Raw genomic sequence first — 14,345 nt, forward strand, 5'->3', positions numbered from 1 at the left:
AGCAAGGCAAGGGAGAGAAAAGGCATTGAAATTGGTAAGGAGGATATAATGCTGCCTTTATTCCCAGAAGACATGATCGTATACATGGAAAACCCTAAGTCATCTAAAGTAAAGCTACTAGAATTAATAAGTAAATTCTGCAAAGTCACTGGCTAGAAGGATCAATACACAAAAATAGTATTTCTAGGTACCAGCAACGAATAATCAAAAATGTGTAAGAGGAGTTCCGGTGAGCTCTGTGCACATGTGCGCGGAGGTAAAGAGGCTTGGGAGGCCTCGCCTGAGAGAGTGAGCCAAGGACATGGAGAGACAGTGTATTACAAAAGGTGCCTTGTACCTTGTCCAAGGACACAGAGCTGGTGGGAGGCAGAGCTGGAATTTGCTCCAGAGCCTTTGTGCTGTAGGACAGGCTGCGGGAGGAGCTGCAGGACTGAGGTACAGAAGCCGCGGAAGGGGCCCAACGAGGGGCAGAGCCGGCACTTGACTCCGTGGGATCCCACGAGACAGACACCCTTTCCTCACCGCCCGAGTGAGCGCCGCCCCTCACAGAGACCTCTTTGCACCCTGGGCCACGCGGGGCAGGCGCTGCCGTCCAGGAGGCCCCATGGAGCTGACGGTGCCGCTGAAGCAGGAGGCCGAGGGCCTGGCGCTGGGCTCCTCGTGGCACCGCTTCCGCCGCTTCCACCTGGGCGAGGCGCCGGGCCCGCACGAGGCGCTGGGGCTGCTACGCGCCCTGTGCCGGGACCGGCTGCGGCCCGAGGTGCACACCAAGGAGCAGATGCTGGAGCTGCTGGTGCTGGAGCAGTTTCTGAGCGCGCTGCCAGCCGACACGCAGGCCTGGGTGTGCAGCCGTCAGCCGCTAAGCTGGGAGGAGGCGGTGGCCCTGCTGGAAGAGTTCTGGGTGAGCCTGACGGGGCTGCGACGGGGGAGGGGAGGAGGCAGGGGAGCGGGGAAGCCAGGAGGAAGCGGAGGGAAAACCGCTGCTTAGCCCCCGAAAACCAGTGTGACCCACGGTGGGGAGGCCATGGCGCAGCAAGGAGGGACAGTCCATGTGGGGCTCCATCCAACACCAGCTGCAAGTCAGTAGGGCCCCCAAGACCTTGGCATACTTGCGAGTTCTCTAGAAGGACTCACAGCCATGTTCACAGTCACGGCTTATCACAGAGAAGGACGCGCTGGAAGCAGCCAGGAAGAGGGCCCGGAAGGCTCCACGGAGACCAGTTATCAGCTGTCCTCTCCCTTCACTCCTCCCGGCACGCAGGGAGTGTTGCCAGCCAGGGACCCTCCTCAGATCTTGGTGTCCCGGGTTCTTACTGGGGACTCCTCCCCGATCTGTGTGGCTGACCTCAGCCTCCAGCCCCGGAAGCTCAAGGATACCACCTGGCCCAAACTCCACCCCAAATCCATCTTGCTGTCGGGCTGGCCTGAGGGCCCCAGGCAGTCAGACCCTCCTCATGCGCGAGACACCAAGGGCTCAGAGATGACTTCCCGAGGGCGGAGGGCAAAAGCCAGGCCTCTCTCTGGGCAGGTTTGGATTCTTCTTTTTTTATTATTTCTTTTTTTTTTCTTTTTTTTTTTTTTTGAGACAGAGTTTCGCTCTTGTTGCCCAGGCTGGAGTGCAGTGGCGCTATCTCGACTCACTGCAACCTCCGCCTCCCAGGTTCAAGTGATTCTCCTGCCTCAGCCTCCTGAGTAGCTGGGATTACAGGCGCCCGCCACCATGCCCAGCTAATTTTTTGTATTTTTAGTAGAAATGGGGTTTCACCATTGTTGGCCAGGCTGGTCTCGAACTCCTGACCTCAGGTGATCCGCCTAATCTTGGCCTGCCGAAGTGCTGGGATTACAGGTGTGAGCCACCGCGCCCGGCCCCAGGTTTGGATTCTTTCACACAGCAGGTATGGGCCGACTCACTGTCTGGGGCCCGCCCAGCCCAGCCCAGCAACTGTGTTTGTGAAGTCTTGGTGCACAGCCACACCCATTCACTTACGTCATCTGTGGCTGACTCTTGCCACCGTGACTATGACAGAGAGCCTGAGAAGCTGGAAGCATTTCCTGTCTTGCCCTGTAGGGGAAGCTTGCATCCTGGTTTAGAGTACGCTCTCCAGGGAGGATGTGTAAGGTGAACCGCAGACGCCATCTTACGTGTTCTAGTCGCCACGTTAAAAAAAGTGAAAAGAGGCCGGGCGCGGTGGCTCACGCCTGTAATCCCAGCATTTTGGGAGGCCGAGGCGGGCGGATCACAAGGTCAGGAGATCGAGACCATCCTGGCTAAACAGGTTGAAACCCCGTCTCTACTAAAAATACAAAAAAATTAGCCAGGCGTGGTGGCGGGCGCCTGTAGTCCCAGCTACTTGGGAGGCTGAGGCAGGAGAATGGTGGGAACCCGGGAGGCGGAGCTTGCAGTGAGCAGAGATCGCGCCACTGCACACCAGCCTGGGCGACAGAGCGAGACTCCGTCTCAAAAAAAAAAAAAAAAAAAAAAGTGAAAAGAAACAGGTGAATTTAGTTTTGATAATCTGCTCGTTGACCCTAATGTCTTCAAAATATTGTCCTTTCAATACCTGACACTCTCACGTGCCCGGTGGGGGCTGTGTGGGGCCTGGGTGATGAGCAGCGGGCAGCCACGCAGAGACCTCTGAGAAGAGTGGTCCAGGCCACGGGAACAGCCAGTGCAAAGGCCCTGAGGCGCCTCGAGCAGCAGAGGGGCCCGTGAGTAAGGGAGTGTTAGCAGTGAGGCTGGAGTCACCAGTGGTGGGAGGGTGAAGAGTCAGAGCAGTCGGGTGTTCATCGTAGGTGTGTACCGAGTGCCTGCTGGGTGCTGGGATGTAGCAGCAGAAAGGGGGCATCTAGGTGAGGCAAAGCGAGCAAAAGCCTTCAGTCCACAGCAGCCGGGGGTCCTTCCTTTCTTCCAGAGGGAACAGCTCCTGTCAAGGCTGCCACTTGGCTTCTGCGCCACCCAACTCAGTGGCCTTGTCCCTCTGCCTTCTTATGCAGCCTGACCAGCCCCCAAACACTCTCCCCTCTTACTGTCTGGGATACAGCTCGCCCCTCCTCTGCTCCCGCCTCCCAGCACCTCTGTGCTGACTCTGGCTTCTCTATCCTCACCCTCCTTCCGGGTCAGTGTTCCCTAAAGTGGGTTGTAACAAATCACCACAAACCCAGCAGCTTACAAATAACGCACATCTGTTATCGTTCTGGAGGTCAGAAGTCCAAAATGGGTCTCACCGCCCAAAATCAAGGTGTTTGCAGAGCCACGTTCCTTCCTGAGGCTCTAGAGGAGAATCCGTTTCCTGCCTTTTCCAGGTCCTAGAGGCTGCCTGCATTCCTCGGCTCATGGCTCTTCCTCTGTCCTCAGAGTGCTGCACTCCAACTTCTGCTTCCGTCTCCCTATCTCTCCTCTGACCTTGACCCTCTTAGGTCCTGTGGTCACTTCATAGGATGCCTGTGATGACATTGAGCCCATCAGGAAAATTTAGGATAGTTTCCCCGTGTCAATGCTTAATTCCTTCCCGTCTGCAGAGTCCCTGTTGGCCTGTGAGACAGCATGTGGCAGGTTCTGGGGATCAGGCCATGTATGTCTTTGGGCCATTATTCTGTCTGCCATAGAGATGAGAGGAATACAGGGTGAACTGGAGGTGGAATAGAACTAACATGGAATTTGTCGGCCTCAGGGTTACTGCCTTTCCAGTTTTCGTGACTCCTCAGAACAGGAGCCGGCGTGGGTGCCAAATAGGTAGATTTCAGCCACTGTTACTGCTCTGACCTCATGCCATCTGTTTCTTTGGCATTAAAATGTCCTTTTAGGAAAAGATGGTAAAAGTACACTTGGTAGTTATTGTTGCTTTTAATGTATATATCACTTTTAATGTATATATCTTGCAAAATAAAACCAATCCCTTCCATTTGGGATGCAGTGAGAGTTAGAGAAAAATGTGTCAGACCTATACAATGAAAATTATAACACATTACTGAGAGATATTAATGAAGGCCTATGGTCTACTAAATGAAGAGAGACACTAATTATGGATTGACAGATTCAATACTCTTTTTTGTTTTTTTGTTTTGTTTTGTTTTGTTTTGTTTTGAGACAGAGTCTCGTGCTGTCGCCTAGGCAGGAGTGCAGTGGTGCGATCTCGGCTCACTACAACCTCCGCCTCCCCGGTTCAAGCAATTTTCCCTGCCTCAGCCTCCAAAGTATATGGGAGTACAGGGGGCCGCCACCACGCCTGGCTAATTTTTGAATTTTTACTACAGACGGAGTTTCACCATGTTGGCCAGGCTGGTTTGGGTTTCACCGTGTTGGCCAGGCTGGTTTCAAACTCCTAACCTCAAGCGATCCACCCAACTCAACCTCCCAGAGTGCTGGAATTACAGGCATGAGCCACCATGCCTGGCCAGGAAAATAAGTATTTTCAACAAATAATACTGAAAAAAGTGGATATCCATATTAATATGGTTTGGGTCTGTGTCCCCACCAAATCTTATGTGAAAATGTAATCTCCAGAGGTGGGGCCTGCTGGGAGGTGACTGGATCATGGGAATGGATCTTTCATGAATGGTGTAACACCATCCTCTTGGTGCTGTTCTTGTGATACAGTTCTCATAAGATGTGGTTGTTTAAAAGTGTGTGGCACCTCCCCACTTCGCTCTCTTGCTCTTGTTCTGGCCATGTGGTATGTGCCTGCTTCCCCTTCGCCTTCCGCCATGATTGTAAATTTTCTGAGGCCTCCCCAGAAGTGGAAGCCTCTATGCTTCCCCGTACAGCCTGCAGAACTATAAGCCAAGTAAACCTCTTTTCTTTATAAACGACCCAGTCTCAGTTATTTTATAGTAATGTGAGAATGCACTGGTACACATATAGATAAAAATGAACCTTAATCCTTAATTTATGCCATACATAAGTTAACTAGAAATGGATTTTTTTCTTTTTTTTCTTTTTTTTTTTTTGGAGACGGAGTCTTGGTTTGTCGCCCAGGCTGGAGTGCAGTGGCAAGATCTCGGCTGACTACTACCTCTGCCTCCTGGGTTCAAGCGATTCTCCTGCCTCAGCCTCCCGAGCATCTGGGACTACAGGTGTGCACCACCACACCCAGCTAATTTTTGTGTTTTTAGTAGACATGGGGTTTCACCCTGTTGGACAGGCTGGTCTCGAACTCCTGGCCACTGCGCCCAGCCCACTTCATCGAAATCTAAAAACACAATTAAAGATGGAGTAAACCTTTCGGCCGGAACCGCCATCTTCCAGTAATTCGCCAAAATGACGAACACAAAGGGAAAGGGGAGAGGCACCCAATATATGTTCTCTAGGTCTTTTAGTAAACATGAAGTTGTTCCTTTGGCCACATATATGCGAATCTATAAGAAAGGTGATATTGTAGACATCAAGGGAATGGGTACTGTTCAAAAAGGAATACCCCACAAGTGTTACCACGGCTAAACTGGAAGAGTCTACAATGTTACCCAGCATGCTGTTGACACTGTTGTAAACAAACAGTTAAGGGCAAGATTCTTGCCAAGAGAATTAATGTGTGTATTGAGCACATTAAGCACTCTAAGAGCCGAGATAGCTTCCTGAAACATGTGAAGGAAAATGATCAGAAAAAGAAAGAAGCCAAAGAGAAAGCTACCTGGGTTCAACTGAAGCAGCAGCCTCTACCCAGAGAAGCACACTTTGTGAGAACCAATGGGAAGGAGTCTGAGCTGCTGGAACCTCTTCCCTACAAATTCATAGCATAATAGGTGTTTTAAAAAAATAAAAGACCTCTGCACTGTAAAAAATGTTTCTCTTGGCGGGGCATGGTGGCTCACGCCTGTAATCCCAGCACTTTGGAAGGCTGAGGCGGGCGGATCACCTGAAGTCGGGAGTTCGAGACCAGCCTGACCAGCATGGAGAAACCCCGTTGCTACTAAAAATACAAAATTAGCCAGGTGCGGTGGTAGGCACCTGTAATCCCAGCTACTCGGGAGGCTGAGGCAGGAGAATTGCTTGAACCCAGGAGGTGGAGGTTGTAGTGGGCCGAGATCACGCCATTGCACTCCAGCTTGGGCAACAAGAGCAAAACTCTGTCTCAAAAAAAAAAAAAAAAGTTTGTCTTTATTGAGTAGAGGGTGCTGTCCTCTCCCCCAAAGAAATATTTAAAGCAAATTTTAGTTGTGTCCTAATTCAGTGTGTAATGTCTTTACTATTCAAATTTAATGTATTTCTTGCTGAAAGATGTGAGGTGGCTTATTGTGCAACAAATTACTCAACTGGTTAGAAAACGGCCACATACCATTTATGAAATATTTGTACTGGCTTGAAGATAGTCTCTCTAAATCATCATGGAAGAAATAAATAATTTACAAAAATGTTAAAACATGAAGATTTAAATAAATAATTCATGGCTGGGTGCGGTGGCTCACGCCTGTAATCTCAGCACTTTAGGAGGCTAAGGTGGGCAGATCACGAGGTCAGGAGTTTGAGACCAGCCTGGCCAACATAGTGAAACCCCATCTCTACTAAAAAATACAAAAAAAAAAAATTAGCCGGGTGTGGTGGCGGGCACCTGTAATCCCAGCTACTTGGGAGGCTGAGGCAGGAGAATCGCTTGAACCCAGGAGGCGGAGGTTGCAGTGAGCCGAGATCGTGCCCTTGCTCTCCAGCCTGGCCAACAGTGTGAGACTCCGTCTCAAATAATAATAATAATAATAATAATAGTAATAATAATAATAATTCACAAAGGAAGATATATTAATGGTCAATAAGCACATAAAAACATGTACAACATCGTTAGTCAGAAGAACACGTAAACACATTTGGGCCGGGCACGGCGGCTCATGCCTGTAATCCCAGCACTTTGGGAGGCCAAGGCCGGTGGATCACCTGAGGTCAGGAGTTGGCCTCACCAACATGGTGAAACCCCGTCTGTACTAAAAATACAAAAAATTAGTTGGGCATGGTGGCACGTGCCTGTAGTCCCAGCTATTCAGGAGGCTGAGGCAGGAGAATAACTTGAACCCAGGAGGTGGAGGTTGCAGTGAGCCGAGATCGTGCCATTGCACTCCAGCCTGGACAACAAGCTCAAAACTCCATCTCAAAAACTAAAACAAACAAAACTACATTGAACTGTACTGAAATAGTACAGCACACCCACTAAAAAAGGCTAGCATTGAAAAGATTGACAATACCAAGTGTTGGTGCATCTGTGAATCAATTTGAACCCGTTACATTGCTGATGCAAAAAGGTACAACGATTTCAGAAAACTCTTTGGCAGTTTCCTGTAATGTTAAATATACACTACCATATATCCAATCCTGTTTACCCAAGAGAAATGAAAACGTGTCCACACAAAGACTTGTACACAAATATTCATAGCAGTTTTATTCATAATAGCCAAAAATTGTCAACAACCCAAATTTCCATCAATAGGCGAATGCACAAAAAAATGTGGTACATCCGTACATGGGAAACCTACACAGCAACAAAAAGATGGAATGACTGATACACACAGCAACATGGCTGAATTGCAGAAACACTGTGCTGAGTGAAAGGAACCAGACACAAAATAAGACATTACTGTATGATCCTGTTTATATGAAACTCTAGGAGACATAAAGTCTCCAGTGGTAGAAAGCAGGTAGGTGGTTGCCTGGGGCTGGAGATGTGGTTTAGGATGACCAGAAAAGGACACAAGGAAACTTTCAGTGATGGAAATATTCTTGATCATGGTGGTAATGACTTGGCTGTATACATTTGTCAATGTACTGTACACTTAAAATGTGTGCCTATTTGTAAATTTTACTTCAAAATACTTTTGTTTCTGTATGCTAGCAATGGACAATTGAAAATTGAAATTCAACAGGTCCATTTATAATAGCATCAAACAAAATACTAGAGGTAGATGTAAAACCTATGCACTGAAAACTAGAATTTGAGTTAACTTTACTTTTGTCATTCTATGTGACCACTTGGAGTTTTTGTGTTTAAATTTTAAAAATAGTCAAGCAGGCCAGGCGCGGTGGCTTACACCTGTAATCCCAGCACTTTGGGAGGCCAAGGCAGGCGGATCACGAGGTCAAGAGATCGAGACCATCCTGGCCAACATGGTGAAACTCTGTCTCTATTAAAAATATAAAAATTAGCTGGGCGTGGTGGCAGGCACTTGTAATCCCAGCCACTCAGGAGACTGAGGCAGGAGAATCACTTGAACCCAGGAGGCAGAGGTTGCAGTGAGCCAAGATTGTGCCATTATACTCCAGTCTGGGTGACAGAGCGAGATGTCATCTCAAAAAAAAAAAAAAAAGCAGATAAGATAAAATTTACTTGAAAAAAATAGTTAAACAGTGTGTAAAATAGAAAGTGTAATATTTTTGCTTAGTGAATGAAAATTTTAGTTGATGCAAAATGAGACTCTTGATACACTCCTTTCTTTCTTTTTTAAGACGGAGTCTCGCTCTGTTGCCCATTCTGGAGTGCAGTGGTGCAATCTCGGCTCACTGCAACCTCCGCCTCCAGGGTTCACGCAGTTCTCTGCCTCAGCCTCCTGAGTAGCTGGGATTATAGGTGCCTGCCACCACACCCAGCTAATTTTTGTATTTTTAGTAGAGACAGGGTTTCACCGTCTTGGCCAGGCTGGTCTTGAACTCCTGACCTCGTGATCCACTCACCTCAGCCTCCCAAAGTGCTGGGATTACAGGCGTGAACCACCGCGCCTGACCTCTTACACTTCTTTCAAAGGTGATTCTCTACTTAAATAGAATTCTCTACTTAGTATAATGAAAACAAAGTATTACTTATCTAAATAATACATAATATTAATATTTCACAGCTTAACCAAAGCAGTTCGGTTTTGTTTTTGTTTTTAAAGAGACGGGGTTTCACTATTTGGCCCAGGCTGGTCTTAAACTAGCCTCAAGTGATCCTCCCACCCCAGTCTCCCAAAGTGCTGAGATTAGAGGCATGAGCCACCATGCCCGGCAAGCAGGACAGTTCTGAAAGCTCTGGACCCAAGTTCCTAAAGGTGATGCAGAGGTCCTCCACTCCCACCCTGGGTGATTCAGCTCTACAGAGGAACTGATCATTTAACCACAAAATTACATTATTCAGAGCATCTCATCCCACTGGCAAAAACCCAGAGTTGATTGCCAGCAGCTTGTAAAAAGCATTTGGTTTTTCCTACTCTGAGCTACATCTCCAGAGTGATTGTCAAAACTTGCTGTACATGTGAATCCTGTGGAGGAACTTTTGGGGGTAAAACATGTTGGGACTCCATCCATGAACCTCTGGGGGTGTGGCCCAGGCTCATCACCCATTAGACCTCAGATTTTGTCCACTTAGCATATATGCCAGTTCAATTATCTTTTCTTTTTGAGACAGTTGCACTCTGTCACCCGGGATGGAGTGCAATGGCACGATTTCGGCTCACTGCAACCTCCGCCTTCCGGGTTCAAGCAATTCTCCTGCCTCAGCCTCCCCAGTAGCTGGGATTACAGGCGCCCGCCACCACGCCCAGCTAATTTTTGTATTTTTAGTAGAGATGGGGTTTCACCATATTGGTCAGGCTGGTCTTGAATTCCTGACCTCATGATCCTCCCGCCTCAGCCTCCCAACGTTCTGGGATTACAGGCGTGAGCCACCACACCCGGCCAATTATCTTGTTTTTATTTTTACTTTTTTTTTTTTTTTGAGTCGGAGTCTCACTCTGTCTCCCAGGCTGGAGTGCAGTGGCATGATCTCAGCTCACTGCAACCTCTGTCTCCCTGGTTCAAGCGATTCTCCTGCCTCAGCCTCCTGAGTAGCTGCGACTACAGGTGCACACAGCCATGCCCGGCTAATTTTTGTACTTTTAGTAGAGACAGGGCTTCACTGTGTTGGCCAGGCTGGTCTTGAACTCCTGACCTCAGGTGATCCACCCGTCTCGGCCTCCCAAAGTGCTGGGATTACAGGCATGAGCCACCACGCCCTGCCTAATTCTCTATTTGATCAGCGACCTTTTACAAATGAGGTTGTCTCTTTTGTCTTAAATCAGGGAACACAAGGTGACTTTGCAAGAACAAGAAAAACAATGGGCAGAATTTGTTCAGTATTTGACACATATTTTCCCACTTAAACCCTTACAATAGCCCTGTTCCTACTAGTAAAGTTGACTATAGTATTCTGGACATACAGATAAATTGCCCATAATTGAACACATCTAGTAAATGGCAGACTGGTTTTTGAGTCCTTATTCCTCTACATTCTGAAGCCTATGGTTTCTAGACTGGATGCCCCTGCACGTTGTCCCAGCTGCAAGGGCCTTCCCTGTAGTACCATGTTATCTAATAAATTTGATTGTTCTTTGAGTAGTTCAGAGGGAGTGAGCTGTCAACCAGGTGAAGCAAATCCTAGCAGGCTACCTGTCCAGAGGCCTAGGATGGCAGATCCATAGGAAATAAAGTCATTAAAGAAGCTAACAGATAATTTGGTAATTTTAGAAAATTAGGGTGTTAGTTCATTGGATCAGAATTCCTTAGAATTTTTAGCCTTATATTACCATGTCCTTGAGGGATGCACCATTTCTTGTCATGGTATCTGACCCATTTCTCCTGCAATCCACCTTCCAAATGCCTGAAATGTGGTGAGGAAATTAATTTTATAGTTTGATGGACATCACTAGATTTATTGAGAGAAGGGGCAGGGCATGGTGGCTCACACCATGTAGTCCCAGCACTTTAAGATGCCGAGGAGAGCAGATCGCTTGAGGTCAGGAGTTTGACACCAGCCTGGCCAACATAGTGAAACTCCATCTTTACTAAAGATACAAAAATTAGCTAGGTGTGATGGCAGGTGCCTTGTAATCCCAGCTACTTGAGAGGCTGAGGCATAAGAATCACTTGAATCTGGGAGGCAGAGGTTGCAGTGAACTGAGATTATGCCATTGCACTCCAGCCTGGGAGACAGTGAGATACCATCTCAAAAAAAAAAAAGAGAAGGAAAACTGTCTCTGTCCAAATGAAAGGTTATTGCTTGAGCTTTTGATGGGCTGTCTCATAAACTGATGAAAATTTAACCAGTGAGTAGATTTCATACTCATTTCCTAACCCTGTTGGCAAATCCAGGTGGGAAACTATATACATGGTGAGCATGGAGCCAAGATGACTTCATGGCTAATGTTTATGCCTGGGGCAGGCATCTCACCTCAGACAGTATGAATTCCAGGCTTAGAGATGCTGGTCTGGGCAACCTGTCCCTAAACAATCCCATTTCTTACTGATGGCTGCACCAATGGGGTGGCTTAAGTATTCAGCCTTAAAAAAGTGTGTTTGCTACAGCAATGCTACACCAATGTTACACCAACTTCAAGACAAAGCCCAGGCTCCCCCATTCCAACCAGATTGCTTTCCCTAAGTCCCTATTATAAAAATTCTGAATCCTTCACATGGTTATTTATTCATCCAATATTTATTGAGTGGCTACTAAGAGCCAGGCGTCAGGGATACAGCAGTGAAAAGAAAAAATAGACAAAAACAGCTGTCCTTCTGGAGCTTACATGAAGTAGGAGAAGATGGATTATAAATAGGTTAGATGGGAAGGAGGGGGAATGCTGAGAAAGGGAATAAGTGTGGCAATTTTATTTTATTTTGAGATGGGAGTCTTGCTCTTGTCATGCAGGCTGGACTGCAATTGCACCATCTTGGCTCACTGCAACCTCCGCCTCCCGGGTTCAAGCAATTCTCCTGCCTAAGCCTCAGCTGGGATTACAGGCGCCCACCACCATGCCCGGCTAATTTTTTTGTAATTTTAGTAGAGATGGGGTTTCACCATGTTGGCCAGGCTGGTCTCAAACTGCTGACCTCAGGTGATCCGCCCACCTCTGCCTCACAAAGTGCTGGGATTACAGGCATGAGCCACTGCACCCAGCCTAAGTGTGGCAATTTTAAATAAAATCGGGAAGGCATGGTTGAGAAAATGACATTTTAGCTAAGAACTGAAGCAATGAGGGAGCGAGCCCACATGGCTATCTGAGGAAGAGCGTTTCAGATGAAGGAGTGAGCACAAGCAAAAGGCTTGAGATGAGATGCTGTGGTCAACACACGGGACGAGGCCAGTGTGGAACCAGGTGAACAAGGAGGAGAGTAGTAGGAAATGAGGTGACAGACTGAATGTATTCTACAGATGAAGAGACATTAGAGGGCTTGGAGGGGAAGTTGGTCTTCTCAGAGAAAAATGTAAGAGGGGCAGCGGTGAAGACATAGATATTGGTGATTTTGGTACAGAGTATGTAGGTGAACATTAACTAGATGATACCTGCCCCTCAGGCCTGGCTGGAATAGCTAAGTCAAAAGGAAAGAGAAAGGAAAGATAAAGGCTTATCTGTAGGAAGCACTTAAAGGATTTCAGGAAACAATTTGTTTCAGATAAAAATAAACAGTATTTGTTGAGTGGTGCGTTTTAGGGGATATTATTAATTTTACCTACAATGCCCTTACTGAGTTGAAGGTGGTGATTAAATATTTGAGAGGATGAGTTTTTGGGGGTAACTACACATGGTAAATTTGAGGTGTTTGACAGAAATGCTAATTAAGCAGTTATTGGAGGTATTGTAAGAGATTCATCTTTAGTTAGATGGATTGGATGAGGTTCTTTATAAATGCAAAAAATCTGACAATTTTTTCAATGAGGATTCAGTATTTGTTAGGACCTGTTAAGTATGGAGGAACTGAGTTAACTGACAATCCAGGCAGAAAGGTTTTAAATGTTTTCATTACTTCATACATTTAAGAGCTTGAGATTTTTTCTATGTAATTCCTAAGCTTTTAATTTTATTTTACAATTATTTTTGGCATGTGTAGTTTCTGACGTCAGCATCTTGCCCAACTTACCAAGACTGGCTACTATCTTTCTTGAATCTTTTTTGCATCATATGAGCTGTCTGTAGCTTCTGACTCATTGATGCCATTGTCCTGTGGCGAAACATTTGGATTACGCATCAAGCACACGGGGAATGGCACATTTTCCTCCATTCTCTTGGCTTTGAAGAATCTGTCTTCCTTCGTGGATCATGAAGTTAGGAGTTCAAGACCAGCCTGACCAACATGGTGAAACCCCGTCTCTACTAAAAATAGAAAAAATTAGCCGGGCGTGGTGGCAGGCACCTGTAATCCCAGCTACTTGGGAGGCTGAGGCAGGGGAATTGCTTGAACCCGAGAGGCAGAGGTTGCAGTGAGCCAAGATTGTGCCACTGCACTCCAGCCTGGGAGACAGAGTGAGACTCCACCTCAAAACAACAACAAAACCTCTAAATAGGCCAGGCGTGGTGGCTCACGCTTGTAATCACAGCACTTTAGGCGGCTGAGGCAGGCAGATCATGAGGTCAAGAGTTCGAGACCAGCCTGGCCAACATAGTGAAACCCCGTCTCTACTAAAAATACAAAAAAATAGCTGGGCGTGGTGACTGGCACCTGTAATCCCAGCTACTCGGGAGGCTGGGGCAGGAGAATCGCTTGAACCCAGGAGGCGGAGGTTGCAGTGAGCCGAGATCGTGCCACTATACTCCAGCCTGGGTGAGAGCTAGACTCTGTCTCAAAAACAAAAACAAAACAAAACAAAAACCTCCAAATTTGGTTTTCACTGTTGACCCTGAGCCAGCCAGATCGCTGCTAGCTGCTGCCCATGATGGTTGAGGGCCACTCAACCTCAATGCCAGCATATCAGGTGGTTTTGTCAGCTTTTCTGAACTTAAAGCCATCGCCATGGCAACTCGAGTAAAAAATAATTACCTATAGTGTCTGTAGGCTTGTACCCTTCAGTATAAGTGTAGAAAAGACTGAAACAAATCAAGGATCTAATGTTTAAAAGGCAGGTTACTATCCAGATTCCCATCTGAAAACTGGTCAGGTCAGTAATTCTACCTGTGGCTAGGAGGATTCTTCTGAGTATTAGGCAAGGGAACATATGTCAAACGCTTAGCACATTGCCCAGCACGTAAAGCGCTTAGCCAGTGTTTGCAGCTGTATGATAATCCCTTCTAAGAAGCACAGTCCCACTCTACAAATGAGGAAACAACGAGAAGTGACATTCTAACCCAAAGTCACCAACATTCACTCCAATGGATACTGAGGCTTCTCCTGTGCCACTCTACAACACGTAGTGATCAAAAATGAGGTAGACCTCCCCTACACCAACGCAGACACCCAACCTGCTCCCACAGCTGTAGGACTGGGAATGGCAGAAAACGTAAGAAATCCAGAGAAGTTCCCCAAAGGACCAGAGACCACAGAACCTTGGTTGCCCCACGGCACTCAGAAGTGTGAGCCATCTCATGGGCATGACCGTATTGAGCATAGAGAGTGCTGAATTTACCAAAATCTAGACCATTTGGATTTT

The 14,345-nt window shown here is 47.1% G+C and overlaps 2 pseudogenes, besides 1 other annotated feature; both read left to right on the forward strand.

Moving 5' to 3' along the window:
• Nucleotides 1-407: 407 nt before the first annotated feature.
• On the forward strand, nt 408-909 carry ZNF444P1 (zinc finger protein 444 pseudogene 1; annotated as a pseudogene).
• RPL21P14 (ribosomal protein L21 pseudogene 14) lies at nt 5,218-5,766 on the forward strand (annotated as a pseudogene).
• Nucleotides 13,776-13,976: a silencer, noted in NCBI's record as "peak2357 fragment used in MPRA reporter construct". NCBI's record gives its function as "represses an SCP1 promoter by STARR-seq MPRAs in K562 erythroleukemia cells {active_cell/tissue: K562}" and the evidence as "EXISTENCE:reporter gene assay evidence [ECO:0000049][PMID:32103011]".

This window comes from Homo sapiens, chromosome 15 (assembly GCF_000001405.40).
Source record: "Homo sapiens chromosome 15, GRCh38.p14 Primary Assembly".
In the NCBI taxonomy this organism is placed as follows: domain Eukaryota; kingdom Metazoa; phylum Chordata; class Mammalia; order Primates; family Hominidae; genus Homo; species Homo sapiens.